The sequence below is a fragment of the Homo sapiens genome, chromosome 9 (assembly GCF_000001405.40).
Source record: "Homo sapiens chromosome 9, GRCh38.p14 Primary Assembly".
Lineage (NCBI taxonomy): Eukaryota > Metazoa > Chordata > Mammalia > Primates > Hominidae > Homo > Homo sapiens.
Genome location: NC_000009.12, coordinates 137,523,598 through 137,550,977, shown reverse-complemented (window position 1 = coordinate 137,550,977; position 27,380 = coordinate 137,523,598). Strand labels below are relative to the sequence as shown.

Here is a 27,380-nt window from a genome sequence, read left to right as displayed (position 1 = left end):
CACCCCCACGCCCCAGATCCACCCCCTCCCCAGCTGCACCCCCTCCCCAGCGGCACCCCCACACCCCAGATCCACCCCCTCCCCAGCTGCACCCCCTCCCTAGCGGTACCCCCACTCGCCGGATCCACGCGCTCCCCAGCTGCACCCTCTCCCCAGCAGTACCCCCACACCCCAGATCCACCCCCTCCCCAGCTGCACCCACTCCCCAGCGGTACCCCTACACGCCGGATCCACCCCCTCCCCAGCTGCACCCACTCCCCAGCGGCACCCCCACACCCCAGATCCACCCCCTCCCCAGCTGCACCCACTCCCCAGCGGTACCCCTACACGCCGGATCCACCCCCTCCCCAGCTGCACCCTCCTCCCCAGCTGCATCCCCACACCCCGGATCCACGCCCCGCCAGCGTCACCTCCCCTCCAGCCGTGCTTCTCCAGAAGGCAGCGCTGCCCCCATCCCCGCCGCGCTGGGCCTGGCTCCTCTTGACCTGCTTGGATACGCCCCATCTGGCTGCTGTTCTGGGTTCCGGGACAGCCACGTGAGGGCTGTTTACAGAGGGAAGGAGGTGGCTCCTAGCAGATGACAGACACTTCTCAAAAGACAGCTTTTCTTCCTGGAGAACAGACTTTTTCAGCAGGATTTTCCTTTCAGTGAAACATAATTTGACTTGAAAGGAACCCAGGGAAAAGTGTCCAGGTGTGAGCATGAGCGGGTAGAGGTGTGCCCTTGTTTGCTTCAGGCTGTCTGCTTTTCGCCCCTGACTGTTTTTTCTGTTTCTGGCCATGGAGGAAGAGAAAGATGACAGCCCACAGGTATGTAACTCGGGGGACCAGATGCCTGGATTTCCCAGTTGGGGGGCATTTCTGGACCCAGAGAAGGGTCCTCTTGGCGTCTGCTCTGCCGCGCTCTTTGGCCCCGTGGCTTCTTGGCGCCTGAGGACTGTGGGAGTGGTGGATCTGGCCCCTCTCTGCTGCCTGTCACAGCTGCCAGCACTTGTTAGACGCGCCTGTCACAGCAGACAGCCAGTGGTGGCCCATGGGCATTGTTCACAGCGAGGGCAGCCAGCGGTGGCCCATGGGCATTGCCTGAGGCCTTGTCTTTTCTTCCCCTAAGGTCACAGTTGCTACTTCCAGTTCCTTTAGGACTTTGCCTGATGGTTTTGCTTAGAACCTTTTTCTGTGTTTTTTTTTTTCCCAAGACGGAGTCTCGCTCTGTCGCCCAGGCTGGTGTGCAATGGTGTGATCTTGGCTCACAGCAACCTCCGCCTCCTGGGTTCAGGCAATTCTGCCTCAGCCTCCCGGGTAGCTGGGACTACAGGCACCACGCCCGGCTAATTTTTGTATTCTTAGTAGAAACGGGGTTTCGCCATGTTGGCCAGGCTGGTCTTGAACTTTTTTTTTTTTTTTTTTTGAGACGGAGTCTTGCTCTGTCGCCCAAGCTGGATTGCAGTGGCACGATCTCAACTCACTGCAAGCTCTGCCTCCCAGGTTCACGCCATTCTCCTGCCTCGGCCTCCCAAGTAGCTGGGACTACAGGCGCCCACCACCACGCCCGGCTAATATTTTTTTGTATTTTCAGTAGAGACGGTGTTTCACTGTGTTAGCCAGGATGGTCTCGATTTCCTGACCTCGTGATCCGCCCGCCTTGGCCTCCCAAAGTGCAGGGATTACAGGCATGAGCCACCGTGCCCGGCCTAGTCTTGAACTCTTGACCTCATGATCTGCCCGCCTCGGCCTCCCAAAGTGCTGGGATTACAGGCGTGAGACACTGTGCCCAGCCCTAGAATCTTTTTCTTAGTCAAACATCTGTAGCCACATGGCAAAGGCCTTATTTCCTAAACCAGAACACTGGACCCATTAAAGCAACAGTGAAAAGCTAGAAAAGGCTGAGCCGCTCCACCGCAGGAGAGCCTGTGACCAGGTCACGGGCCATCGCGTGATAGGCCTTCCTTGGATAATCGGTCCCAGAAGCGGTTGCTGGGCTGAGGGACTCACTTCGCTTCCTTAAGTGAGGGACATGGTCGTAGGTGCTTCTCTGCTCCCCACCTGGTTGAGAGTGAGCGTAGGGGTTCCCCTGTCCTGAAGCAGAAGCTCCCAGGGCTTGTATTTGCTTCTGAACCAAGTTCGAAGGGCTCAGCTTTCTGGGCACGTCCTCATTCTGTCTTGGTGCAGAATTGTGTCTTTAAATGCGTTTCTGAGTGCTCTTCTGACTTCCCTGAGTTTTCTTTTTTTTGAGATGGAGTCTCGCTCTGTCGCCCAGGCTGGAGTGCAGTAGCACAATCTCAGCTCACTGCAAGCTCTGCCTCCCGGGTTCACGCCATTCTCCTGCCTCAGCCTCCCAAGTAGCTGGGACTACAGGCACCCACCACCACGCCCGGCTAATTTTTGAATTTTTAGTAGAGACGGGGTTTCACCGTGTTAGCCAGGATGGTCTCGATCTCCTGACCTCATGATCCGCCCGCCTCAGCCTCCCAAAGTGCTGGGATTGCAGGCGTGAGCCACTGCGCCCGGCCCTTCCCTGGATTTTCTGGCACGGATGGGAGTCCTGCTCTCTGCAGTGAGGCGGGGGTGGGTGTTGTTTTAGGCCTTGGCTCTTGTGTAGAAACTTTCAGGCTGAACCAGTGGCTTCCCCTGCCCTATCCGGTTCCTGGCTGCCTGGGAGGAAGGTGTGATGCCAGCAGGAATGGAGAGGGCTGCCTGTCTGGCTGGTGTCGTCTTCTCGTCTTCTCGTTTTCTCTTTCACTTCTTGGAACCACCAGCGTCCTCTGCTGTCGTTCACTCACCATCCTGCCCTCACCCTCTCTTCCCTCCCTCCCGCGGACCTGGACTTCTGAAGTCCTGCTGCTCCAGGAGACTGCAGGACACAGAGCCTTCTCGGCCGCTGCCTCCTTGTTTGGCATGTGAACTGGTGTTGAATGTTCTCAGAATCCAGATGGCTCATAGGGGTTTTGAGCACTGCTCCTGCTGGGGCTGAGGCGACACTGAGAGGGGGGCCTTGGCCTCCCCTTTGGCCAGGCCTGCTCCCTGAGACCTGCATCCCAAGGATTGCATCACCAGCATGTGGGTGTGTTAGTGATGCCTGGGGCAGCCGCTGGCCCTGCCCCACTGTATCCCAGTGACTGAGGGAGCCAGGTTGCTCTCTGAGTGCTTCCTAGCAGGGGGCTCAGAGGACCCCGGCACCCCGGGCGAGATCACTTCTTCCCAGAAGTCTCCAGGGCTGCTGACTTCTCCCCTAACTCCCAGCTCTCCTCCTGCTGCTCTGAACAAGTTCGGGCTGGGAAGCCTGTCCATGCCCACCTGACCCCATGCTCTCTGCTGCAGGCTGACTTCTGCCTGGGCACCGCCCTGCACTCTTGGGGACTGTGGTTCACGGAGGAAGGTTCACCGTCCACCATGGTAATCACCTCACGCTTCCCTGGAGCCAGACCTGGATGGGCCGTGGCCTTTTTCACCTCTCCCTGTCCCCATCCCCTGGCTCATTCCTGCCCAGCCTGTGGTTGGGCAGCCAGGGGTGGGGGCAGGCTTAGGGCTAGGGTTAGGTTTGTGGCTTTGCTGATGGGCGCCGTGTTTCCACTCTCGGCCAGCTGACGGGGATTGCAGTTGGAGCCCTCCTGGCCCTGGCCTTGGTTGGTGTCCTCATCCTTTTCATGTTCAGAAGGCTTAGACAATTTCGTGAGTATCTTGGTTCCGACTCTGGCCCGGGGGGTTGGGGGAAAGCGTGGGTGTCTTGGGATGTGTTTTGAGCCCCTGGGAGGGGCCCTCAAGCGCATGGTGGCTTTGGCTAGAATCTGATGGCCCGTCTGGGCTCAGGCTGAGCCCGTCGGTTCCAGGAAGCCAAGTCTGTTCAGAGCCCTTTCTGTTCTCCTCTCCTGAGCAAGGCTTCAGTGGGAAGAGGGGAGAGCCCCCTTTGTTGGAGATGAGCCTGTCACTCAGGCCCTCTTCCCTCATGCTGTCTGAGTATGGCCAGTTACTGGCAGGGACGAGAGTATGACTGACTGTGCTGCACCTGCATGTCCAGGACCAGGCCTGTGCCACGGCTCTACCTCAGGCCATCCCTTTACTCCCCTGCAGGACAAGCACAGCCCACTCCTCAGTACCGGTTCCGGAAGAGAGACAAAGTGATGTTTTACGGCCGGAAGATCATGAGGAAGGTAGCTGTTGCTCGGGGCCCCAGGCTGCACACGGCTTCCTCGAGCAGGCCCCTGTGGGAGGGACCCCTTCTGCTGTGGGCTCCCCCAGGCTGGGCAGTGCTTGGTGTGTGCTGTCCTCTCCCCAGCTTCCCAGCTCTGCCACCAGGCTCAGGGTTTGGGGGAAATTATAAATTGTGCCGAATGGTGTCTGCTTCCTCCAGCTGAATCCAGTGTGTTTTACCCAAGAATAACCCCTCACCCTCTCAGGCCTCTACTCCCCCTGGCCTGGAGGGGCAGCTTCAGGAATGTCTGTGGTGCACAGTGGCCGGAGGGGAGGGAAGGCCTGTAGGGCCCAGCCCCACAGGGTCGGTGGGTTTCTCCCCCTGTGCGGAGACGAGAGAGTGTAGAAATAAAGACACAAGACAAAAAGATAAAAGAAAAGACAGCTGGGTCCTGGGGACCACTACCACCAAGACGCGGAGACCAGTAGTGGCCCTGAATGCCAGGCTGCACTGATATTTATTGGATACAAGACAAAGGGGCAGGGTAAGGAGTGTGAGCCATCTCCAATGATAGGTAAGGTCCCGTGGTTCACGTGTCTGCTTGACAGGAGGCCCTTCCCTGCCTGGCAGCCGAGACAGAGAGAGAGAGGAGAGAGAGAGAAAGATAGCTTATGCCATTATTTCTGCATATCAGAGACTTTTAGTACTTTCACTAATTGACTACTGCTATCTAAAAGACAGAGCCAGGTGTACAGGATGGAACATGAAGGCGGACTAGGAGCGTGACCACTGAAGCACAGCATCACAGGGAGACGGTTAGGCCTCCGGATAACTGCGGGCGAACCTGACTGATGTCAGGCCCTCCACAGGAGGTGGAGGGGTAGAGTCATCTCTGAACTCCCCTGGGGAAAGGGAGACTCCCTTTCCCTGTCTGCTAAGTAGCAGGTGTTTTTCCTTGACACTGACGCTACCGCTAGATCACGGTCCGCTTGGCAACAGGCATCTTCCCAGACGCTGGCGTCACCACTAGACCAAGGAGCCCTCTGGTGGCCCTGTCCGGGCATAACAGAAGGCTCGCACTCTTGTCTTCTGGTCACTCCTCACTATGTCCCCTCAGCTCCTATCTCTGTATGGCCTGGTTTTTCCTAGGCTATGATTATAGAGTGAGGATTATTATAATATTGGAATAAAGAGTAATTGCTACAAGCTAATGATTAATGATATTCATATATAATCATATCTAAGATCTATATGTAGTATAACTATTCTTATTTTATATATTTTATTATACTGGAACAGCTCATGCCCTCAGTCGCTTGCCGCTCACAAAGGCCCTGTCGGCCCCCAGAGTGGATGTTTATTTTAACAATAAGTGAGAACGGAAAGCTGCTTTCTAGGAACATCACTGGGGCCCAGTGGGTGCAGAGGGCCTCACGCTCGGCCAGAGGTTCCTGACTCTGCTGCCAAGCTTGGAGGTCTCTGCCAGGCTTTGGGATGCTGAGCTGAGGACAGAGTCCATCCCCTGGGATTTGAGGGGCTGAGTTCCCTGGTTACCGGCATGTGTGCTCTAAGCTGAAAGCTGCGTGACTCACTTTGAATGTCTGGGTGGTTCCGGAACCTAGACACAGATCCCTGGGCCAGGGCTCAGGGATCCGAGTTTCACAAGCCCCGATCTGGGGAATAAGCAGCCTTGGTTTAACCCTTCCTCGTCTTTGGCCAATTGGGCTGTCGGAGGCCTCCCCTGGCCGCCTCCCTGCACTCCTGAAGGGCCCAGGAGGTGCTCAACAGACCACCCAGAAGCTTCACAGAAACCGCACAGACTGATCCCTTTAAAGCAATCTTTGTTACCTTTTTCTGGTTGTACAACTAATTCGTGTTCTTCATAGAAAATTGAAAAACTCGGCCGGGCACGGTGGCTCACGCCTGTACTCTCAGCACTTTGAGAGGCTGAGGTGGGCGGATCATGAGGTCAGGAGTTCGAGACCAGCCTGGCCAACATGGCGAAACCCTGTCTCTACTAAAAATACAAAAATTAGCTGGGCTTTGTGGCGGGCGCCTGTAATCCCAACTACTCGGGAGGCTGAGGCAGGAGAATTGTTTGAGCCAGGACCCAGGAGGCGGAGGTTGTAGTGAGTCGAGATCGTGCCATTGCACTGCAGCCTGGGCAACAAGAGCAAAACTCCATCTCAAAAACAAACGAACAAACAAAAAACAAAAAGAAAATTGAGAAACTCAAGAGGGGAGGGATGTGGGTGTCTGTGACTCATCTGTTCTCATCCGCATTAAGTGCTGTGAAAGGGCAGATGAGTTAGGGCTGCTGTAGGCTGGGTCTGGGACAGGCTTAGGCGGCCGGGACAGGGCGTAGGGTGGTCTGGAGCAGAGTGGAGGCGGTCTGTTGAGTGTCGGCCATCATCCAGTGGCCCCACAGAGGACAGGGAAGCTGAGGGCCTGGGAGGAAAGCCATGAGGCTGACAGCTCTGGACCGAGGGGCAGCAGGCAGTGGGGCCTGAGTGAGGTGACCCTGCCAGCATGCAGGGTGTGACCCAGGCCACTGCTATTCTGGGCAGTCAAGCAGGCACTGCCTGAGAAAAGGGAGGAAGACTGTTCCAGATATGGGACAGAGTGGGCAGTGGCCCCAGGTCAGAGGGGAAGTTGGGGGGGAAGGTCGGTGGGGACAGTGGTGGATTTTTAAAGGGTTGTAGCAAAGGGTTGTGTTGACCAGTATGAGAGCCAAAGATGGAGCGGGTGTCAGCCTTCGGGGCAGCGGGGCCAGCAGGCATGAAGCCTGGGGGCTCTGGAGGGTTGGCTGTTTGGGGACAGTGAGGACGATCCCAAGGATGTGTGGGGCTGTATCGCTGCCAACATTCCCTCACAGGCCAGGCAGGGTGGGAAAATGGCACAGCCAGACCCCAGGAGCTGAAGCTGGGACTGTGGGAGGCCCACAGGCAGGTCCTGAGGACTGATCCCCATGGCAAAGAGCTTGGACCTTGCGGCTTGCAGGGTCAGTGGCTGGTCTCTCCCTTGGCTCTGCAGGTGACCACACTCCCCAACACCCTTGTGGAGAACACTGCCCTGCCCCGGCAGCGGGCCAGGAAGAGGACCAAGGTGCTGTCTTTGGCCAAGAGGTACTGTGTGTCCTTCAGACCACATCCTGCCCCAGGTGCCCCCCATGGTGCTGGCCTCCCCAACCCTGAGCTGCCTGGTGTGTCAGCCACTGATGCTGTGGGTTTCGAACCCGCCTGGTCTGCTCAAGGCTAGTGTGTCTCTGCCTTGTAGGATTCTGCGTTTCAAGAAGGAATACCCGGCCCTGCAGCCCAAGGAGCCCCCGCCCTCCCTGCTGGAGGCCGACCTCACGGAGTTTGACGTGAAGAATTCTCACCTGCCATCGGAAGTTCTGTACATGCTGAAAAACGTTCGGTAAGAGCGGGGATGAGCCCCGGGGGCTGCGGCAGCTCCCATAGCCCCGGGCTTCTCGCTGGGGCCTGGCTCCAGCTTGGCCGTCTTGTGTTGGGGGAATGGTTGGCAAAGCGCATCGTGGGGCTGCTGGTGTCTGTGCCCCGTGGCGGGGCCTCGTGGTCTGCTGGCTCCTTCACCAGATCTTTCTTGTTCTGTTGAACGATTTCCCGGTGTTTCATCTTCAGCGGTGAACCCAGGGCAAGAGCAAGAAGGGTGTGGTGGATCCAAAGCCTGGAGCCTGGGTTCTGCTCTGTGCTCCTGTCTTGCTGCCTGGCCCCTGGACTGCACCCCTTCCGCTCCCTGGCCCAGCTCACCATCCTGGAGGCCACCTTTGCCTTCCTCCCGTGTGTGTGTGGCTCAGGTTCACGGGTCAAGAAGTTCTCTGAGGTGATGGAAAACAGGCTCACGGGAATTTCAGAAGTTGACGGTTGTGTTTGGCAGTAATGCTGTGTGGTTTGTTGGTCAGCCGTGTGGACCCACAGCACAAAGCCTGGCGCCAGTGGGGTCAGTGACCGTGTGCTCTCGAGACTCTTGGAGAGGCCGTCCTCCTCCCCTGGAAGGGCGTCCCACAGTGCCCTCTGGCTCTTGCAGGGTCCTGGGCCACTTTGAGAAGCCGCTGTTCCTGGAGCTTTGCAAACACATCGTCTTTGTGCAGCTGCAGGAAGGGGAGCACGTCTTCCAGCCCAGGGAGCCGGACCCCAGCATCTGTGTGGTGCAGGACGGGCGGCTGGAGGTCTGCATCCAGGACACTGTGAGTCGCAGGGCGGCGGGGCGGGGTCAGGCGGCTGCGCATTTACCTCCACGTCTGTCTTCTCGGGCTGTAAAACGTTTCTCATTGAAAAGCTAGGCAAAATTTTGATTTTAATTTCTTTGGGGGAAAACTCACCGTTTTTATTTTTTATTACATTTTATTTAGTTTTTTGAAACAGGGTCTCACTCTGTCACCCAGGCTGGAGTGCAGTGGTGTGATCTCAGCTCACTGAGGCCTGGACTTCCTGGGCTCAAGCGATCCTCCCGCCTCAGCCTCTCGAGTAGCTGGGATTACAGGTGTATGTCACCATGCCCAGCTCACTTATAAAATTTTTTTGTAGAGATGGAGTCTCAGTTTGTTGTCCGGGCTCATCAGCAATTCCTGTGCTCAGGCGATTCTCCCATCTTGTCCTCTCAGAGCACTGGAATTACAGGCATGAGGCACTGGGCTGGGCAGCTGTTTTAAATGTATCTTCCAAGTCCTCAGAATACTCCCTTTGATAGTTTAGTAGTAAGTCACTGTGTTGATTTGCCATGGTCCATTGAACCCTTGCTCTATTTTCAGGTTTCTAACAAAATTAAATTAATTGTAAGAAAGTAATTAAGGCCAAGGTGGGAAGATCACCTGAGCCCACGGCTTAGAGACCAGCTTGGACGAAGTAGTGAGACCCCGTCTCTACAAAAAATAAAAAATAATTATCCAGGCATGGTGGTAGCACCTGTGGTCCCAGCCACTTGGGGGCTGAGGTGGGAGGATCGCTTGAGTCTGGGAGGTTGCGGCTATAGTGAGCTGTGTTCACGCCACTGCACTCCAGCCTGGGCGACAGAGCGAGACCCTGTCTCAAAAAAAAAAAAATTCGGGTGTGAATCCACGTAGGAGCTCAATACTTGTTTCCTGCCTCTGTTAAATTCCACCCTTTGAATCGCTGCTCGGGGGTGGGTGCTGGGCCAGACCCTGCCGTGGCCTCTTTGGCGCTGTGTTGCTCTCCTGGAGGGTGGTGTGGCTTTGTCTGTCTGGGCAGTTTGCGACCCAGACTTCCCATTGCTTGTTCTCATTTAAAGCACGCACTCAGCAAACCCTGGGCTTTGTGTGATCATCACCCTGACCTGCAGGGCTCCTGCCAGCTGTGGTCCCGGGAGTGGGCTGTGATCCCACGCCAGCTCCGGCACTGCCTGTCGGGGTTTCTAGACCAAAAGCGCTGCTGGGCAAATTATTTGGTTCTCAGGTTTGTCGCTTTGTCTGTGGCTGGACTTGATGGGTTATTAGAAGGGAAAGGGGCTTGGGGGAAGCTGGAGCCAGTAGCTCCTGGGGATGAGGCCGCCCAGCTGGTGAAGCAGCGGCTTTCGTTGCCGCTCGTGCGGGGCCCTCCTGAAGGACCAGAACCCGTGTCCCTCTGGCCTTTGGACTAGATGGGAGGGGCTCATGGAGGGGACTGGGGCCAGATTTGGGCAACTTCATAAAGAATTTTCCTGGGTCAAGCTGAGATGAAGTGCTTACTTTGTTAAATCACCAAAATAGCGCGGTTTCTTTTCTTTTTTTACCTAATGGAAAATTATATCAAAGTTCTGGAATTTAGGCTGGTAATAACTGAATCGGTCCTCGGAGTCCTTATAGTTAGCTCAGCAAACAAACAGGCTCTGCGAGCTTTTGCCTCAGTCCCCACATTGAAGACGAGTCATGGGATGGAGAGGTGGGGTCTCCTCCGTCTGTTTTCCTTGCTGCCGCTTCCTGTGTGTTGTACCCCTGATGCCAGCAGGTCCATCTTGTCCCCTGCCCTCCATCCAAGGTGCCTGCTGCTCTCATGGCGCCTCAGAGGTGCAGGCCCGTGGCCCCACTGCCCTGGGCTGGGCTGAGCCTCCGCCAGGCCCCGCGGTCGCAGCCCCAGACCTGACGGCACCCACTCTGCTCTCCAAGCGCAGGACGGCACCGAGGTGGTGGTGAAAGAGGTTCTGGCGGGAGACAGCGTCCACAGCCTGCTCAGCATCCTGGACATCATCACCGTGAGTCCCCCGCTGCCTGGCCCTCCGGGCGCCCCTGGGTTGGCCCCGGAGGCCTGGTTTTTCTGTCTTGTCTGGACAGCTGGTAGTGGTTAAAGGCCAGTTCTCCACAGTGATGTGAGGGGAGCAGGGTTTGGTCCAGGAAGGAGGGAAGAAAGAGGAGGGAGCTTCATTCTGGCCACAGTGCGTTGAAGAATAGCCGGGCATGTGGCTAACGGTTTTGGTTGTCTCTTAAATGACTGTTGTTGAACTGGGTCATAAATGCATGTGGTTCAGCATTCAAAAGGCACAAAGTGTTGTAGAGGGAAGGCGTTTTCTCCTCTCCTCAGGCCCAAGGCCCTCCCGAGGGACCAGCCACCCCCGTTTCCTGCAGGTCCTGCTGGGCTCTTCCCTGCTGGCGCCGTCTTTCTGTGGCTCCCAGTCTTTTGCTTTTCGTCGTTGCAGTGAATGGTTTCCTGTGTCCATCGTTTCCGATACCAGAGCCTGATCTGCAGGATAAATCCTAGGGTGGACTTGCAGGGTCCCAGGGATGCAGACTTGTAATTTTGAAAGGTGCTGCCGGGCCGGGCGCAGTGGCTCACACCTGTAATCCCAGCACTTTGCGAGGCTGAGGTGGGTGGATCACAAGGTCAAGAGATCGAGACCAGCCTGGCCAACGTGGTGAAACCCCGTCTCTACTAAAAATACAAAAATTAACTGGGTGTAGGGGCAGGCGCCAGTAATCCCAGCTACTTGGGAGGCTGAGGCAGGAGAATCGCATGAACCCGGGAGGTAGAGGTTGCAGTGAGCCAAGATCCTGCCACTGCACTCCAGCCTAGGCAGCGAGAGTGAAACTCCGTCTCAAAAAACAAAACAAAACAAAACAAAAAATCATGTATCATGTTGTCTCATGATTTTTAACTTTTTATTATGAGACAGTTCAAAAATGTGCAAAAATAGTAAAATCACCCCATGTGCCCAACATTAACTAGAATTATTTTTTTTTAGGCTGGGTCTTGCTCTGTCGCCCAGGCAGTGGCATGATCTTTGCTCATTGCAACCTCCGCCTCCTGGGCTCAAGCAATTCTCTCACCTCAGCTTCCCAAGTAGCAGGCGTGCACCACCATACCTGGCTAATTTTGTATTTTTTTGTAGAGATAGAGATGAGGTTTTGCCATGTTGGCCAGGCTGATCTTGAACTCCTGGGATCAAGTGATCTGCCTACCTCAGCCTCCCAAAATGCTGGGATTACAGGCATAAGCCATCATGCCAAGCCATTAACTAGAAGTTTTTTTGTTTTTTGTTTGTTTGTTTGTTTGTTTTGAGATGGAGTCTCGCTCTGTTGCCCAGGCTGGAGTACAATGGCGCAATCTTGGCTCACTGTAACCTCCACCTCCCAGGTTCAAGCAATTCTCTTGCCTCAGCCTCCCGAGTGGCTGGGATTACAGGCATGCGCCACCATGCCCAGCTAATTTTTGTATTTTTAGTAGAGAACAGCCTTGGTAAGGCTGATCTCCAACTCCTGACCTCATAATCTGCCTGCCTTGGCCTCCCAAAGTGCTGGAATTACAGGCGTGAGCCACTGCACCCAGCCTGAATTTTGTTGTTTTTTTTGAGACAGGGTCTTGCTCTGTTGCCCAGGCTGGAGTGCAGTGCCACGATCTTGGCTCACTGCAGCCACTATCTTCCAGGTTCAAGTAATTCTCCTGCCTCAGCCTCCTGAGTACCTGGGATTACAGGAATGTGCCATCACACCTGGCTAATTTTTGTATTTTTAGTACAGACGGGGTTTCACCATGTTGGCCAGGCTGGTCTTGAACCCCTGACCTCAAGTGAGCCACCTACCTCAGCCTCCCAAAATGCTGGGATTACAGGCCTGAGCCACCGCGCTTGGCCCATTAACTGGAATTTAATGTGTGTTTAATCTTTTTTTCTTTGAGTAAAACCTACATGCAGTGAAACAAATCTTTAGTGTCCATTAGCTGAATTTTGCTAAATGCCTCTCAACTCAAAAGAGGTAACTGATTTTAATCTTACTCTTTTGAGTTACACCTTTTGCATTCATTGTTAGCTGTGTATCAAGGTAACTTCTACCTCAGTTTCTCTAGACTTTGTTAGGAGAGTTTTCTAGAGCTCACCAGAACCCTGGCTCGGATGCATTCAGGCAGAACCAAGCGCTAGGTCCTTGCATGAAACCTCGCACTGGAGCCTGGGTGGTGTCCTCTGATCCCATCCTATGTTCCTCTGCTCGGAAAGGACGTAACAAGCTCCAGCCAGACATCGGGGTGTCCAGGGTGCTCACTCTGCTCCCCGGCAGATGGGCACAGGTGCGCTTTGAGCTGTTTGGGGCCTGGGGTGGAGGCGTGGGTGGGACCTCGGCATCTCGTTGTGCTCCCTGGGACTTGTGTATCTTCACGTGACGCGTGGCCTGTGCTGGGGAGGCTGCCGGCCTGGGGAGGGAGAAGACACCCACCTCCTTTGAGCAAGGCTGACCTGCCGTTAGAAGGCCGGTGCTCATCTTCGAGGGAGCCCCCAGCGTGGCTTGGGGCAGAGTGGGGTCCCAGCCACCAGATCCACCTCTGTGCACCTCTTTGGAGCCTCTGGTTAGTGTGTCTCTGGAGCTGAGGTGGGCTTCTCAGGGACTCCTGGATGTGTAAGGGGCACCTGTGGGCCTGAGAAAAACTGGGAAAGGACCACAGGAGCTTTGGTCTACGTGGACGTAAACCCGTTCAGCACGGGGCATCTGTATGCGACCTACCTTGGATGATTCGTTTCTCTTTAAGCAAAAAATAGCTTCACTGGGGTAGAGGCTTTCTCCATTATTTCTTTGTTCTTTCTGATCTTGATCTTGTTGTGATATTCAGGTTGGGCCTCACTTATCACAGTGCAGCCATGCCTGTTCCAGGAGAGGGGAGCTGTGCGCTGAGACGGGCCGGGTTCCTCTCAGCTGCTGCGATCCGTCTCATCCGCGTTGGTGTCACAGCCCCTCTCCCTTAGGGGTGGGAATGGATCTTCCCTGAGTGTAGTGGGAGTAAAAAATGGGAGGTGATTGGCTGAGCACGGTGGCTCACGCCTGTAATCCCAGCACTTTGGGAGGCCGAGGTGGGCGGATCACGAGGTCAGGAGATCGAGACCATCCTGGCCAACATGGTGAAACCCATCCCTACTAAAAATACAAAAATTAGCTGGGTGTGGTGGCGGGTGCCTGTTATCCCAGCTACTCGGGAGGCTGAGGCAGGAGAATCCCTTGAACCAGGGATTTGGAGGTTGCAGTGAGCTGAGATTGTGCCACTGCACTCCAGCCTGGTGACAGAGTGACACTCCAACTCTGTCTCAAAAAAAAAAATGGGGGTGATATCTGAGAGAGGTAATTCTGTATTGTGATCAGTTGATCATCTGCCGTGACATCGTTTTTCCTCATCAAACTTTTGTGTTTGTCATTTTAACAAAACTTAAATTCTTGCAAAATAACATGGACAGATTCTAAAAACATACTTAAAGTTTTATCAACAGTGGCCGTCTGTCCCCTCACACTGAAAACGCTTCGGTTCCTTCTGAGCAGCTTTTCTTGCTGTTTCCTAACCCATCCATTCTAGACACACTGACTTCCTGTTGTGGGAGATAAAGTGTGGCTCGGTGGATGGCCCCCATGCTTCCTGTTGTGGGAGATGAAGTGTGGCTCGGTGGATGGCCCCCATGCTTCCTGTCGTGGGAGATGAAGTGTGGCTCGGAGGATGGCCCCCATGCTTCCTGTCGTGGGAGATGAAGTATGGCTCAGAGGATGGCCCCCATGCTTCCTGTCGTGGGAGATGAAGTGTGGCTCGGAGGATGGCCCCCATGCTTCCTGTCGTGGGAGATGAAGTGTGGCTCGGTGGATGGCCCCCATGCTTCCTGTCATGGGAGATGAAGTGTGGCTCCGTAGATTGCCCCCATGCCTCATGCTACGTTCCCATCTGCACCGCTCATGGGCGGTTCTTTCGACTTCATGGATACTATTCACAGCTGAGCTATGTAGTGTACTATAGTTAAATTTCCTTTCTTGCAACTTTCTCTTTTTCTTGGAATTAACAGTTGTGTTATTTTTGGCTACTTGGTGATTTTTCTGTGCACCTGTTACAGATTCACGACCTGAACCAGCGGCTTATTTTTGGCCTCTTGGTGATTTTTATATGCACCCATTACAGATTCACGCCTGAACCAGCGGCTCCGTGAATGCTTTTTTGCTCTGGGAAGCGCCCCTGCTAGGAGCCCCCATCCTCTTGCCCAGTCGGACCCTCCCCAGGCCTGCTGTCCAGACGCCATCCCAGGACCACCCACCCTTCCTTCCCCTACACAGGGCTCTTGCTGCTGCTTTCTCGGCCGGCGTGTTTTGGTGGAGCAAATCCTCCATTCACTTCCTGAGACAGGATGCCAGGGAGGTGTATGTTTGGAAACCTTAGAAATCTAGAATTGTCTTTATTCTACACCACCTTTGTCTTTTTGTTGTACTTTTTCTTTTCTTTTTTTTTTTTTTGTGATGGAGTCTTGGTCTGTCGCCCAGGCTGGAGTGCAGTGGCGCGATCTCAGCTCACTGCAAGCTCCGCCTCCTGGGTTCACGCCATTCTCCTGCCTCAGCCTCCTGAGTAGCTGGGACTACAGGCGCCCACTGCCACGCCCGGCTAATTTTTTGTATTTTTTAGTAGAGACGGGGTTTCACCATGTTAGCCAGGATGGTCTCGATCTCCTGACCTCGTGATCTGCCCGCCTCGGCCTCCCAAAGTGGTGGGATTACAGGCATGAGCCACCATGCCCAGCCTTTTTGTTATACTTTCTAGATTTTTTCAACTTTATTTTCCAAATCTTCCATTGAATTTTTAATTTCTGTCATATTTTTCATTTCAAGAGGTTTTTTCTGTTAATTTTTTTTTTTTTTTGAGACGGGGTCTTGCCCTGTCACCCAGGCTGGAGTGCAATGGCGTGATCTCAGCTCACTGCAACTCCTGCCTCCCGTGTTCAAACGATTCTCCTGCCTCAGCCTCCCGAGTAGCTGGGATTACAGGTGCCCACCACCATGCCCAGCTAATTTTTGTATTTTTAGTAGGGACGGGGTTTCACCATGTTGGTCAGGCTGGTCTCAAACTCCTGACCTTGTGATCCGCCTGCCTCGGCCTCCCAAAGTGCTGGGATTACAGGTGTGAGCCACTGCGCCTGGCCCTGAATGTTCTTTTTAAAAAAGTATCTTTGTTCTTATGTTTTAATTTTTAAAAATTATCTTGTTCTTACTTCATGGATAAAGTAAGATGGGTTTTCTTTTGCTCCCTGAGTTGTTTCTGACCTGAGTTTTTCTTCTCTGTTTATTTTGGCTTCTGTCTTTCTGATCAGGGGCTTTTCTGCCTCCAGCAGTCACTTTATGTGTGAATGAAGTTCTTATTGAACACAAGTGTGCAAACCAGCATAGCTGCATCTCACAGAAATAATGTGGAGCCCAAGAGGCCAGCAACAAAAAGCACACACTGTGTAATTTCACTCACCTGAGGCTCAGCTACCAGCTGTACTGACACTTGAGGACAGAGGCTGGCCAGCCAGCTTTCTCTGTAAAAGGCCAGAGTGTAAATATTTCAGCTTTATGGGCCACGTGGTCTCTCTTGCAGCTACTCAATGTGGCCATCTAGTGTTCCAAAAAAAACTTCCTTTACAAAAAACGTGCGGTTGGAGGGACTTGGTGTTGGTGTTTGGCCCTGCTGGGGTTAAGGTCTCATTAGTGGTTGCCTGTTAGAACGCGCGGTTCGAGGGACTTGGTCCTGGTGTTTGGCCCTGCTGGGGTTAAGGTCTCATTAGTGGTTGCCTGTTAGGGGTTTAGGTTGGGTATCGACCCGGGGAGGCGTAAGGTAATCTAGATTACTGGAAATGTTCTACATATTGATTTCGGTGGGAGTTACATGGGTTAACTACAAAACGAAAACAGCGTGATCCACCTGAAAGCTGCATATAGGCTGCGTGTGCATGGGGTCAGGGCTCGTTAACAGGGGACACTCCCTGCAGGAGGACTGAGCAGGACGCTGGCTCTTTCCTTCATGGTTTGGGAGTCTACAGGTCAGGGTCTGTAGGTCTTTTTTTTAGGGCAGCTTCTCAGAAAGGAATCTGCGTATGTTCTGCTGTGGTGGCACTGGGTTGGAGGAGGGGGAGGAGTCTGGGAGTGCTCCCATCTGGAGTGGACACTGTTGGGGAGGAGTCTGGGAGTGCTCCTGTCTGAGTCTGGGAGTGCTCCCATCTGGAGTGGACACTGTTGGGGAGGAGCCTGGAAGTGCACCCATCTGGAGTGGACACTCACTGAGGAGCCTGGGAGTGCTCCCGCCTGGAGTAGACACTGTTGGGGAGGAGCCTGGGAGTGCCCCCGTCTGGAGTGGACACTCACTGAGGAGCCTGGGAGTGCTCCCGCCTGGAGTGGACAGTGTTGGGGAGTAGTCTGGGGGTGCTCCCATCTGGAGTGGACAGTTGGGGAGGAGTCTGGGGGTGCTCCCGTCTGGAGTGGACACTGTTGTGGAGGATTCTGGGAGTCCTCCCGCCTGGAGTGGACACTGTTGTGGAGGATTCTGGGAGTCCTCCCGCCTGGAGTGGACACTGTTGGGGAGGAGTCTGGGGGTGCTCCCATCTGGAGTAGACACTGTTGTGGAGGATTCTGGGAGTCCTCCCACCTGGAGTATACACTGTTGTGGAGGATTCTGGGAGTCCTCCCGCCTGGAGTGGACACTGTTGGGGAGGATTCTGGGAGTGCTCCTGTCTGGAGGGGACACTCACTGAGGAGTCTGGGAGTGCTCCTGTCTGGAGTGGACGCTGTTGGGGAGGAGTCTGGGGGTGCTCCTGTCTGGAGTGGACACTGTTGGGGAGGAGTCTGGGAGTGCCCCCGTCTAGAGTGTACACTGTTGTGGAGGATTCTGGGAGCCCTCCTGCCTGGAGTGGACACTGTTGGGGAGGAGTCTGGGAGTGCTCCCATCTGGAGTGGACACTCAGGAGTCTGGGAGTGCTCCCATCTGGAGTGGACACTTGGGGAGGAGTCTGGGGATGCTCCTGTCTGGAGTGGACACTGTTGTGGAGGATTCTGGGAGTCCTCCCGCCTGGAGTGGACATTGTTGGGGAGGATTCTGGGGGTGCTCCCGTCTGGAGTGGACACTTGTGGAGGATTCTGGGAGTCCTCCCGCCTGGAGTGTACACTGTTGTGGAGAATTCTGGGAGTCCTCCCGCCTGGAGTGGACACTGTTGGGGAGGAGTCTGGGGGTGCTCCCGTCTGGAGTGGACATTCACTGAGGAGTCTGGGAGTGCTCCCATCTGGAGTGGACACTTGGGGAGGAGTCTGGGGGTGCTCCTGTCTGGAGTGGACACTGTTGTTGAGGATTCTGGGAGTCCTCCCGCCTGGAGTGGACACTGTTGGGGAGGAGTCTGGGAGTCCTCCCGCCTGGAGTGGACACTGTTGGGGAGGACTCTGGGAGTGCCCCCGTCTAGAGTGTACACTGTTGTGGAGAATTCTGGGAGTCCTCCCGCCTGGAGTGGACACTGTTGGGGAGGAGTCTAGGGGTGCTCCCGTCTGGAGTGGACACTCACTGAGGAGTCTGAGAGTGCTCCCATCTGGAGTGGACACTCACTGAGGAGTCTGAGAGTGCTCCCATCTGGAGTGGACACTTGGGGAGGAGTCTGGGGGTGCTCCCGTCTGGAGTGGACACTGTTGTTGAGGATTCTGGGAGTGTTCCCGTCTGGAGTGGACACTCACTGAGGAGTCTGGGAGTGCTCCCGTCTGGAGTGGACACTGTTCTTGGATTCGTAGCCACACCTGATGTCCTTGGGCTCTTACCTGCTTGCTTCACCTTCTCCAGAGAGTTCCTGGTAGTCCTCTGGCCACGGGGAAAAGCCATTTCCAGCCTGTTGGGGTCAGGAAAGTGACTTGGGGTTAGCCTGCCCCTCTTCCCGTCTCACCTGCATGTTAGCCTCGTTCTGGCTCTGCAGTGAGGACCAGTCCTCTCTGTCCAGGTTCTGCACCTCTAAAACCAAGTGTCAGCTTTCCTTAGAGGGCTCCACCAGCCATGACCCTGTCACTTGCTTTCATCAGCCGCTAAAATTTCAGTGACATTTTTTATCTACTCTTAGCTTTTGTCTTTATCCTTGGAGGTTTGTATCTTTTTAAGAGAGCAGAGATAAGCATGTATATTCCACAAGGGGACAAAGATAAGCATTTACCTTCAACTTACCTTTCTTTTTTGGAGACAGTCTCACTCTGTCACCCAGGCTGGAGTGCAGTGGCGTGATCTTGGCTCACTGCAACCTCCATTTCCTGGGTTCAAGTGAGTCTTGTGCTTCAGCCTCCCGAGTAGCTGGGACTACAGGTATACACCAGCATGCCCGTGTAATATTTGTATTTTTAGTAGAAACAAGGTTTCACCATGTTGGCCAGGCTGGTCTTCAACTCCTGACCTCAAGCGATCTGCCCTCCTGGGCCTCCCAAAGTGCTGGGATTATAGGTGTGAACCACCGTGCCTGGCCCAACCCACCATTTTTAATGGGAGATAGTCTTTATTATTTTAATTTTTATAAAGTTGTTACAAAATACCGCAGATACGCAAAAAAGCGTGATGTTGCTGGGAATGGCGGTTGGCACCTATAGTCCTGGCTGTTCGGGAGAGGAAAGGAGATTGCTGAGCCTCGTAGTTCTAGGCCAGCCCAGACAACATAGCAGGACCCTGTCTCTAAAACAAGTAGGCATGACACAGCAAACAGGCATCTTAACTCGAACCCAGGTTATATAGTTTTAACCCTGGTTAGCTAGAACACAGGTTAGATGCACACTGCCGGCTCTGTTCACATTACCCACGTGTGCTCTCATTTCACCTTCTCTTTTCTTCAGAGATAGCTACTTTTCTGAATTTTCTTTGGTACTTATACAATATGTAGTATAATTTTGCTTGACTCTAAATCTCATAAATGGCATCACACCAGGATTCCTCACCTTTCCTAATTTGAGCAACATTATGAACGTGAGATTCATTGGCGTGAGTGGGTGTCGTTCTAGTTCAGTCGTTGACACCACCGTTGATTTCTCCGTGGCTGAGTGACAGCTGGGTTGGGTGTGATTGCTGGCTGCTACATACAGCACTGCCGAGATCTGAAGATGTGCAAGTGTGGGGAGCCCTCGGGGACCCCTGCCTGCCAGAGGAGCTGCGTGTCCACCTGGGCTTCCCAGCATCCAGCCTCTCCCTGTGGTTTTCACAGCTTCCTGATCTGGGGTGAGGTTATGAAGGCATGGTTTTTTGAAGTAAACAAGTGGATTTGAAATAAAACACACAAAAGCCATTTTTAGCAACAGCTGCTAAGTTGTTATTCTTTTTCCCCACCCGCCCCCAAACACACGCACGTGCTTTTCTCCCTGATTCCAGAGTGGAGATGAGACTTGCCCAGCTGATGCGGTTGGTGGGGGTGTCTCTCCCTTGAGTCTGGAGCAGGCCGTGATTTCAGTCGCTGGACCCCGGCTGTTGGGGCTGGCAGATGACTCCTCTCAACCGTTCTGTGCTTGTGTTTCTTGTGGTGTGGTGTAGCTCTCTTAGGGAGGAACTTGCTCTACATAAAGGTTTTGAAAGGAACGGAACAAAATTCCAAGTGGAAGAAAAATTGCTGAGTCTCAGAGATCGATTAGCATGTGCCAAGAGCTGAGTATCTGGTGTGCTCGATGTGCGGGGCCCGCAGCAGGCCTGAGTGTCGGCCAGTTGTGCTTTGGAGCCCAGCACCAGGAGATTGGGCACCCTCTAAGTTCCTTGTTTGGGTTCTCGTTTATGTGGCCTCGTGCAGGAAGGTACATTGGAATTCTCCTGAACAGCAGCAGCCGTGAGCCTGGTCTACACAGGTGAGCAGCTGCTGTTTGATTTAGTATCTGTGGTGATGTGTTAGGCATCTTCATTCAGGCTCTCAAAGAAGAAGGAAATTAAGATTTTATTTTTAACTAAAATAAATGGGAGAGTTACAGTTCTGCTGTGGCAAGGTAGTGCCACAACAGCCTGTCCTGCTGATTACAGTGAAAAACTCTGGACAGAATGCAGAAAACAATTCTTGGAGAACTCCGAAAATAAAGCCAGTAGACTGTGGATAGTCATCGTGGAGCCGCCACCCACGAGGGTTCTGCTTCCTGCTTTTTCGTTTTCTTCTGTTACTCATGGCCTTGCCTTGATGGTAGCCCAGTTATGGAGCAAAAGCCCTGATGGGAATCCTCCAAAAGCACCAGAAGAAGGGCCCCCAAGGGCCAGAGAGAGTGTGTGGATCTCAGGGAGGAGAGAGCCAGGGAAGTAGATGCACAGATTTTGTCTGTGAACCTGTACAAGGCTCAGGACAGACCCAGAGCAGCATAACAAAGACTTTGAAACTGTATTAAGATTCATACTTCAAGGCCAGGTGCGGTGGCTCACGCCTGTAATCCCAACACTTTGGGAGGCCGAGGCGGGCAGATCACAAGGTCAAGAGATCAAGACTGTCCTGGCCAACATGGTTAAACCCTGTCTCCACTAAAAATACAAAAAAATTAGCTGGGTGTGGTGGCGCGCACCTCTAGTCTCATCTACTCGGGAGGCTGAGGCCGGAGAATCGCTTGAACCCGGGAGGCAGAAGTTGCAGTGAGCCGAGATCATGCCACTGCACCACAGCCTGGGAAACAGAGCAAGACTGTATCTCAGGAAAAAAAAAATTCAAACTTCAGGCTGGGCGCGGTGGCTCACACCTGTAATCCCAGCACTTTGGGAGGCTGAGGCGGGCGGATCACATGAGGTCAGGAGTTCCACACCAGCCTGGTCAACATGGTGAAACCCCGTCTCTACTAAAAATACAAAAATTTAGCCAAGTGTGGTGGTGTGTGCCTGTAATCCCAGCTACTCAGGGGGCTGAGGCAGGAGAGTTGCTTCAACCCAGGAGGCGGAGGTTGCAGTGAGCCGAGATCGTGCCACTACACTCCAGCCTGGGTGGTAGAGTGAAACTCCGTCTCAAAAAAAAAAAAAAAAAAACAAAGATTCAAACTTCACCTCGAATCTCAGATTGACTCCTGAGTGGTGCATGTTCAGGGCAGAGCAAAGCATCAGAACCAAGGCTTTGAAAACAGAGAAACTGGAATCCACCATCCACAGATACAGACTTGTGGTCTGAACCCAACCAGCTTAATCGCCTGCTAAAACAAAGAAGGCAACATTCTCCGGAAAATTATATCCTAAACCCAGCCATTATAAATGATCACAGTGGATACAAATGGTCTAAATACAACAACAAGACAGACTGTCAGATTGGATGGAAAGTCCAAGCCCCAACTCTATGGTGTCTGCAGGAAAAACCCACTTTAAATATCAATACTTAGATGGAAAACAGAAGGTTGGCCTGGGCGAAGTGACTCACACCTGTAATCCCAGCACTGTGGGAGGCTCAGGTGGGAGGATTGCTTGAGCACAGGAGTTTGAGACCAGTCTGGGCAACATAGCAACCCCATCTCTACAAAAAATTTAAAATTAGGTTAGTGTGGTGGTACACACCTGTGCTCCCAGCTACTCAGGAGGCTAAAGTGGGAGGATTGCTTGAGCCTGGGAAGCTGAGGCTGAAGGAAGCTCTGAGTGTGCTGCTGTAGTATAGCTCAGGTGATAGAGTAGCAAGACAGTTTCTCAAAAAATAAAAAAGGCCGGGCGCGGTGGCTCACGCCTGTAATCCCAGCACTTTGGGAGGCCGAGGCGGGCGGATCACGAGGTCAGGAGATCGAGACCATCCTGGCTAACGCAGTGAAACCTCGTCTCTACTAAAAATACAAAAAATTAGCCAGGCGTGGTGGCGGGCTCCTGTAGTCCCAGCTACTGTGGAGGCTGAGGCAGGAGAATGGCGTGAACCCGGGAGGCAGAGTTTGCGGTGAGCCAAGATCGCACCACTGCACTCCAGCCTGGGCAAGAGAGCGAGACTCCATCTCAAAAAAAAAAAAGGCTGGAAGAAGATATATCATGAAAGCCCCAATTAAAAGAAAACTGGAGTGGCTATATTAGTATCAGACAAAGTCGATGTCAGATGAGATGAAGGAATATTACCAAGGATAAAAATGGACAACACGGCCAGGCGCGGTGGCTCATGCCTGTAATCCCAGCACTTTGGGAGGCCGAGGCGGGTGCATCACTTGAGGTCAGAAGTTCGAGATCAGCCTGGCCAACATGGTGAAACCCCATCTCTACTAAAAATACAAAAATTATCTGGAAATCACTTGAACCCAGGAGGCAGAGGTTGCAGTGAGCCACGACTGTGCCATGGCACTCCAGCCTGGGCAATGCTCATATTAGAAAATAAAACAAGTCTCAGATCAGTGACCCAAGCTTCTATCTTAAGAAGCTAGGAAAAGAAAAACAAATGAAACCCAAAGCAAGCAGATGGAAGAAACTAATAAAGAGCAGGAATCCATGAGATTGGAAATGCAAAACAAGAGAGAAAATGAATGAAACCAAAAGCTGGCTCTTGGAAGACGTCAGTAAAATGAAAAATCCTCCAGCCAGACTAGTGTAGAAAAGAAGAGAAGACACAAACTACAGATATTAGACATGAAAGAGTGCACATGTCTACAGACCCTACAGACATAAAAGGACTAATAAGGAAATATTTTGAACAGCTTTATGCCCATAAAATCAGCCACGCAGATTAAATTGACAAATTCCTTGAAAGGCACAAACTACCACAGTTCCCTCAGATATAGATTATCTGAATGGCTACTACTAAAGAAATCGAATCTGTAGCTAAAATCCTTCCCACCTGGAGAATTCCAGATCTAGATGACTTCACTGGGGAATACTTCCCAACATTTAGGACAATAAGGACAAAATATGCTAATTTTATACAAACTTCTCCGGAAAAGTAGAAGAGGGACTATTTCCCAGTTTAGTTTTTGAGGGTAGCAATACCCTAATACCTAATCAGACAGACATTACAAGAAAGGAAAATTTCAAACCAGTCACTCATCATTAGAAACATACATATCCTCAATGAAATATTAGAGATTTGAGTCCAGCAGTATATGGAAAAGGATAATACATCATGATCAGTGGGATTTATTCCAGGAGCAAAGCTGTTTCAACAGTTGAAAATCAGTTGATGTAATGTTCCATATTGACAGACTAAAGAAGAAAAGCCATCTGATTACCTTAATAAATGCAGAAAAAGTATTTGACAAAATTCAGCATCTGTTCACGATAAAAACTGTCAGCAACCAGAAGAGAACTTCCTAAATCGAATAAAGGACATCTGTACTAAAAAAATGAAAGCAAACATCGTGCCTGATCGTGAAAGACTGAATATTTTCCCTTGAAGATTGCGAACAAGCCAGAGTGTGTGTGTGGGTTTTTTTTTGTTTTTTTGTTTTTTTGTGGTTTTTTTTTTTGTGAGTCGGAGTCTTGCTCTGTCTCCCAGGCCGGAGTGCAGTGGCGCAATCTTGGCTCACTGCAACCTCCGCCCCCTCTGATTCAAGCAATTCTCCTGCCTCAGCCTCCCAAGTAGCTGGGACTACAGGCACCTGCCACCACACCCGGCTAATTTTTGTATTTTTAGTAGAGACGGGGTTTCACCATCTTGGCCAGGCTGGTCTTGAATTCCTGACCTCGTGATCTACCTGCCTCGGCCTCCCAAAGTGCTGGGACCACAGGCATGAGCCACCATGCCTGGCCAAGTGTGTGTTCTTACCACTCCTGTTCAGCATCGTATTGGAGGTCCTCAGAGCAGTAGGGGAAGAGAAAGAAAGAAAAAGCATGCAGATGGGAAAAGAAAAAATAAAAGTCTCTATTCCCAAACATGATTATCTAGATTGAAAATCCTGTGGATTCTATAAGACAACTACTAGAACTTATGGTTTATCAACATACGAAAATAAACTGTATTTCTCTATATTAGCAATGAAGAATTAGGAATTGAAATTTAAAAGTAACAGCAATTATAATAGCATCCAAAACTGCAAACTTGGGAGTTCCCAGGCCACTCACACTTGTGACCAACTGGTTACAACTTCAGGGATTCCTGTGACCCCCTCAGATTCAATATTCTAGAACAATTCACATTTGTACTACAAAGGATGAAAATCGGCCAGGCGCGGTGGCTCACGCCTGTAATCCCAGCACTTTGGGAGGCTGAGGCGGGTGGATCATGAGGTCAGGAGATTGAGACCATCCTGGCTAACACGGTGAAACCCCGTCTCTACTAAAAATACAAAACATTAACCTGGCATGGTGGCGGGCGCCTGTAGTCCCAGCTACTTGGGAGGCTGAGGCAGGAGAATGGCGTGAACCCGGGAGGCGGAGCTTGTAGTGAGCTGAGATCGCGCCATTGCACTCCAAAGTGAGACTCTGTCTTAAAAAAAAAAGGATGAAAATCAGGATCAGTCAAAACAGTCAAGAGACCCACAGAGTGAGGTCTGGCATGGTCCAGCCATGAGGCTCCCGTGTCCTTGAGCTATGCCATCCTCCTTGTGGGCGGCAAGCCACCCAGGTGCCGAGGCAAGAGACCGAGGGCACGAGCTGTTACAGTATAATAAAGAAAATATACAGAATAAGAATAGTTATACTGGAACTAGAATATAGATATGATGATATATGAATATTAATCATTAGTTTGTAGCATTACTCTTTGTTCCAATATTATAATAATCTCTGTTCTACAATTATAACCTGGGAAAAACCAGGCCATACAGAGATAGGAGCTGAAGGGACATGGTGAGAAGCGACCAAAGACAAGTGTGAGCCTTCTGTTATGCCCAGACAGGGCCACTAGAGGGCTCCTTGGTCTAGCGGTAACGCCAGTGCCTGGGAAGACACCCACTGCTTAGCAGACCAGGAAAGGGAGTCTCGTTTCGCCAGGGGAGTTAGAGAAGACTCTGCTCCACCACCTCTTGTGAAAGGCCTGACATCAGTCAAGCCCGCCCGCAGCCATCCGGAGGCCTAAACGTCTCCCTGTGATGCTGTGCTTCAGCGGTCACGCTCCTGGTCCACTTTCGTGTTACGCCCTGTACACCTGGCTGTGCCTTCTAGATAGCAGTAGCAGAATTAGTGAAAGTATTAAAGTGTTTGATCTCTCCGAGAAATACATAGAAGAAATAATGACATAAGCTGTCCCCATTCTCTCTCCGCCTCGGCTACCAAATAGGGAAGGGCCCCCTGTCCGGTGGACACGTGACTCACGTGACCTTACGTATCGCTGGAGACGACTCACACTTCTTACCTGCCCCCTTGCCTTGTATCAAATAAATAACAGTGCAGCCAGGCATTCGGGGCCACTACCGGTCTCCATGCCTTGGTGGTAGTGGTCCCCTGGGCCCAGCTGTCTTTTCTTCCATCTCTTTGTCTTGTGTCTTTATTTCTACGATCTCTCATCTCTGCACATGAAGAAAAAAACACACAGGCACAGTAGGGCTGGACCCTATACCTCCTGGCACACTGATGTGTGTTGCCACCCAGGGACGTTTGCCTGAACTTTGGCTGTGTGATCCAACTCGATGTCTAGCTTCCTCCCCTCCCCGCAGGTGGGAGGTTGGGCTGACACCCCTGGATCTAGTCACATGCTTGGTCTTCCCTGCATGGCCAGCTCCCTCCTGAAACTTCTGGGTTGGGCCTTGCCGCCAGGAGTCACCTGCTAGCATAAACCCAAGTGAATTGCACTGTGAATAAAAAGACACTTCCAGGAGCTTCTAAGATCTTGAGGGCTTTCTCCTGGGAACTGAAGACAAGACCAGCTAAATTCTTTATTATGCGACATGGTGGCACCAACTGCTGGTGAAGACAGGCATCCACGGAAACTCATTCCACGGGGCATCCAAGGAAACTCATTCCACGGGGCATCCACGGAAACTCATTCCACGGGGCATCCACGGAAACCCATTCCACGGGGCATCCACGGAAACTCATTCCACGGGGCATCCACGGAAACTCGTTCGCTGCTGGTGAGAATGCAAAACACAGGGCATCCATGGAAACTCACTCACCGCTGGTGAGAATGCAAAGCACGGCAGCCGCTGTAGGAGACAGTTTGGTAGTTTCTTATAAATGTGAGGATACGTGTTCCGTACAACCTACAAGTCCCATCCCTAGGTATTTAGCAAGAGGGATGAGAACTGTGTCCACGCAAACACTGGGAGATGCATATTTATCAAGCAGCTTTATTTAGAATTGTCCCCAGTGGAAACAACACAAATATCCTTCGACTGCTGAATGGACGGAGACCCTGCGAGGCCTTCACGAGGAGACACTGCAAGGCCTCCATGAGGCAGCCAGCACTCAGGAGCCAAGGCACAGGCCTCTGGCAGACGCGCCACCGTGGGGGAATCTCGACTGCTGAATGGACGGAGACCCTGCGAGGCCTCCACGAGACAGCCAGCACTTGGGAGTCAAGGCAGAGACCTCTGTCAGACATGCCACCGTGGGGGAATCTCGAGTGTGTCACACCGCTGAGGGAAGCCTCCACACTCTGTGCCTCCATTTATGTGACATTTTGACAAAGGCACAACCACTGGGACAGAAGACGGGGGAGCATTGCCAAGACCCAGTGGTGGGAAGAAAGGAGGTTGCGAAAAGGCTGCCAGGGGCATTGGAGGTTGGGATTGTTCTGTTTCTGTGGTGGGGGTGAAAATGCTAGAGGTGTGCACCAAAAAGGGTGAATCTGCCTCTGCATGCAGGTGACGGCGTGATGTAAACAGAAGGCTTTTCTCTCTAGAGCCAACTAATTTCCAGAATAATCTGAGCCAGGCGTGGTGGCTCACGCCGGTAATCCCAGCACTTTGGGAGGCCGAGGTGGGCGGATCACGAGGTCAGGAGATCGAGACCCTCCTGGCTAACACAGTGAAACCCTGTCTCTACTAAAAATTCAAAAAACAAATTAGCCGGGCGTGGTGGCGGGCGCTTGTAGCCCCAGCTACTGTGGAGGCTGAGGCAGGAGAATGGTGTGAACCCGGGAGGCGGAGCTTGCAGTGAGCCAAGATCACGCCATTGCACTCCAGCCTGGACGACAGAACGAGACTCTGTCTCAAAAAAAAAAAAAAATCTGTCTCTGCAGGCAGGTGACGGCATGGTGT

The 27,380-nt window shown here is 52.6% G+C and overlaps 1 protein-coding gene across 12 annotated transcripts in view, besides 3 other annotated features; it reads left to right on the top strand.

Annotated features, from left to right (window-relative positions):
• The first annotated feature begins 575 nt into the window (after nt 1-575).
• PNPLA7 (patatin like domain 7, lysophospholipase) overlaps nt 576-27,380 on the top strand; it is a 90,451-nt gene continuing 63,646 nt past the window's right edge. For 9 of the 12 annotated variants that reach the window (XR_929794.2, XR_929793.2, XR_001746292.2 and 6 more), the window contains exons 1-8: nt 576-810; nt 3,319-3,393; nt 3,582-3,669; nt 4,069-4,148; nt 7,163-7,254; nt 7,406-7,546; nt 8,177-8,336; nt 10,256-10,336. Coding sequence is in view for 8 of the 12 variants with exons in the window: in NM_001098537.3 (NP_001092007.2) it covers nt 781-810; nt 3,319-3,393; nt 3,582-3,669; nt 4,069-4,148; nt 7,163-7,254; nt 7,406-7,546; nt 8,177-8,336; nt 10,256-10,336 (747 nt within the window). In the remaining 4 variants the exon portion in view is untranslated. The remainder of the gene's footprint in view (nt 811-3,318; nt 3,394-3,581; nt 3,670-4,068; nt 4,149-7,162; nt 7,255-7,405; nt 7,547-8,176; nt 8,337-10,255; nt 10,337-27,380) is intronic. The other 3 variants (XM_047423366.1, XM_047423367.1, NM_152286.5) reach the window with 3 other exon arrangements.
• Nucleotides 966-1,467: an enhancer, noted in NCBI's record as "H3K4me1 hESC enhancer chr9:140443963-140444464 (GRCh37/hg19 assembly coordinates)". NCBI's record gives its function as "activates a minimal SCP1, AML or CMV promoter by ChIP-STARR-seq in naive H9 embryonic stem cells {active_cell/tissue: H9 hESC(naive)}" and the evidence as "EXISTENCE:reporter gene assay evidence [ECO:0000049][PMID:30033119]".
• Nucleotides 6,576-7,077: an enhancer, noted in NCBI's record as "H3K4me1 hESC enhancer chr9:140438353-140438854 (GRCh37/hg19 assembly coordinates)". NCBI's record gives its function as "activates a minimal SCP1, AML or CMV promoter by ChIP-STARR-seq in primed H9 embryonic stem cells {active_cell/tissue: H9 hESC(primed)}" and the evidence as "EXISTENCE:reporter gene assay evidence [ECO:0000049][PMID:30033119]".
• Nucleotides 16,036-16,095: an enhancer, noted in NCBI's record as "active region_29352". NCBI's record gives its function as "activates an Ori minimal core promoter by ATAC-STARR-seq in GM12878 lymphoblastoid cells {active_cell/tissue: GM12878}" and the evidence as "EXISTENCE:reporter gene assay evidence [ECO:0000049][PMID:35858748]".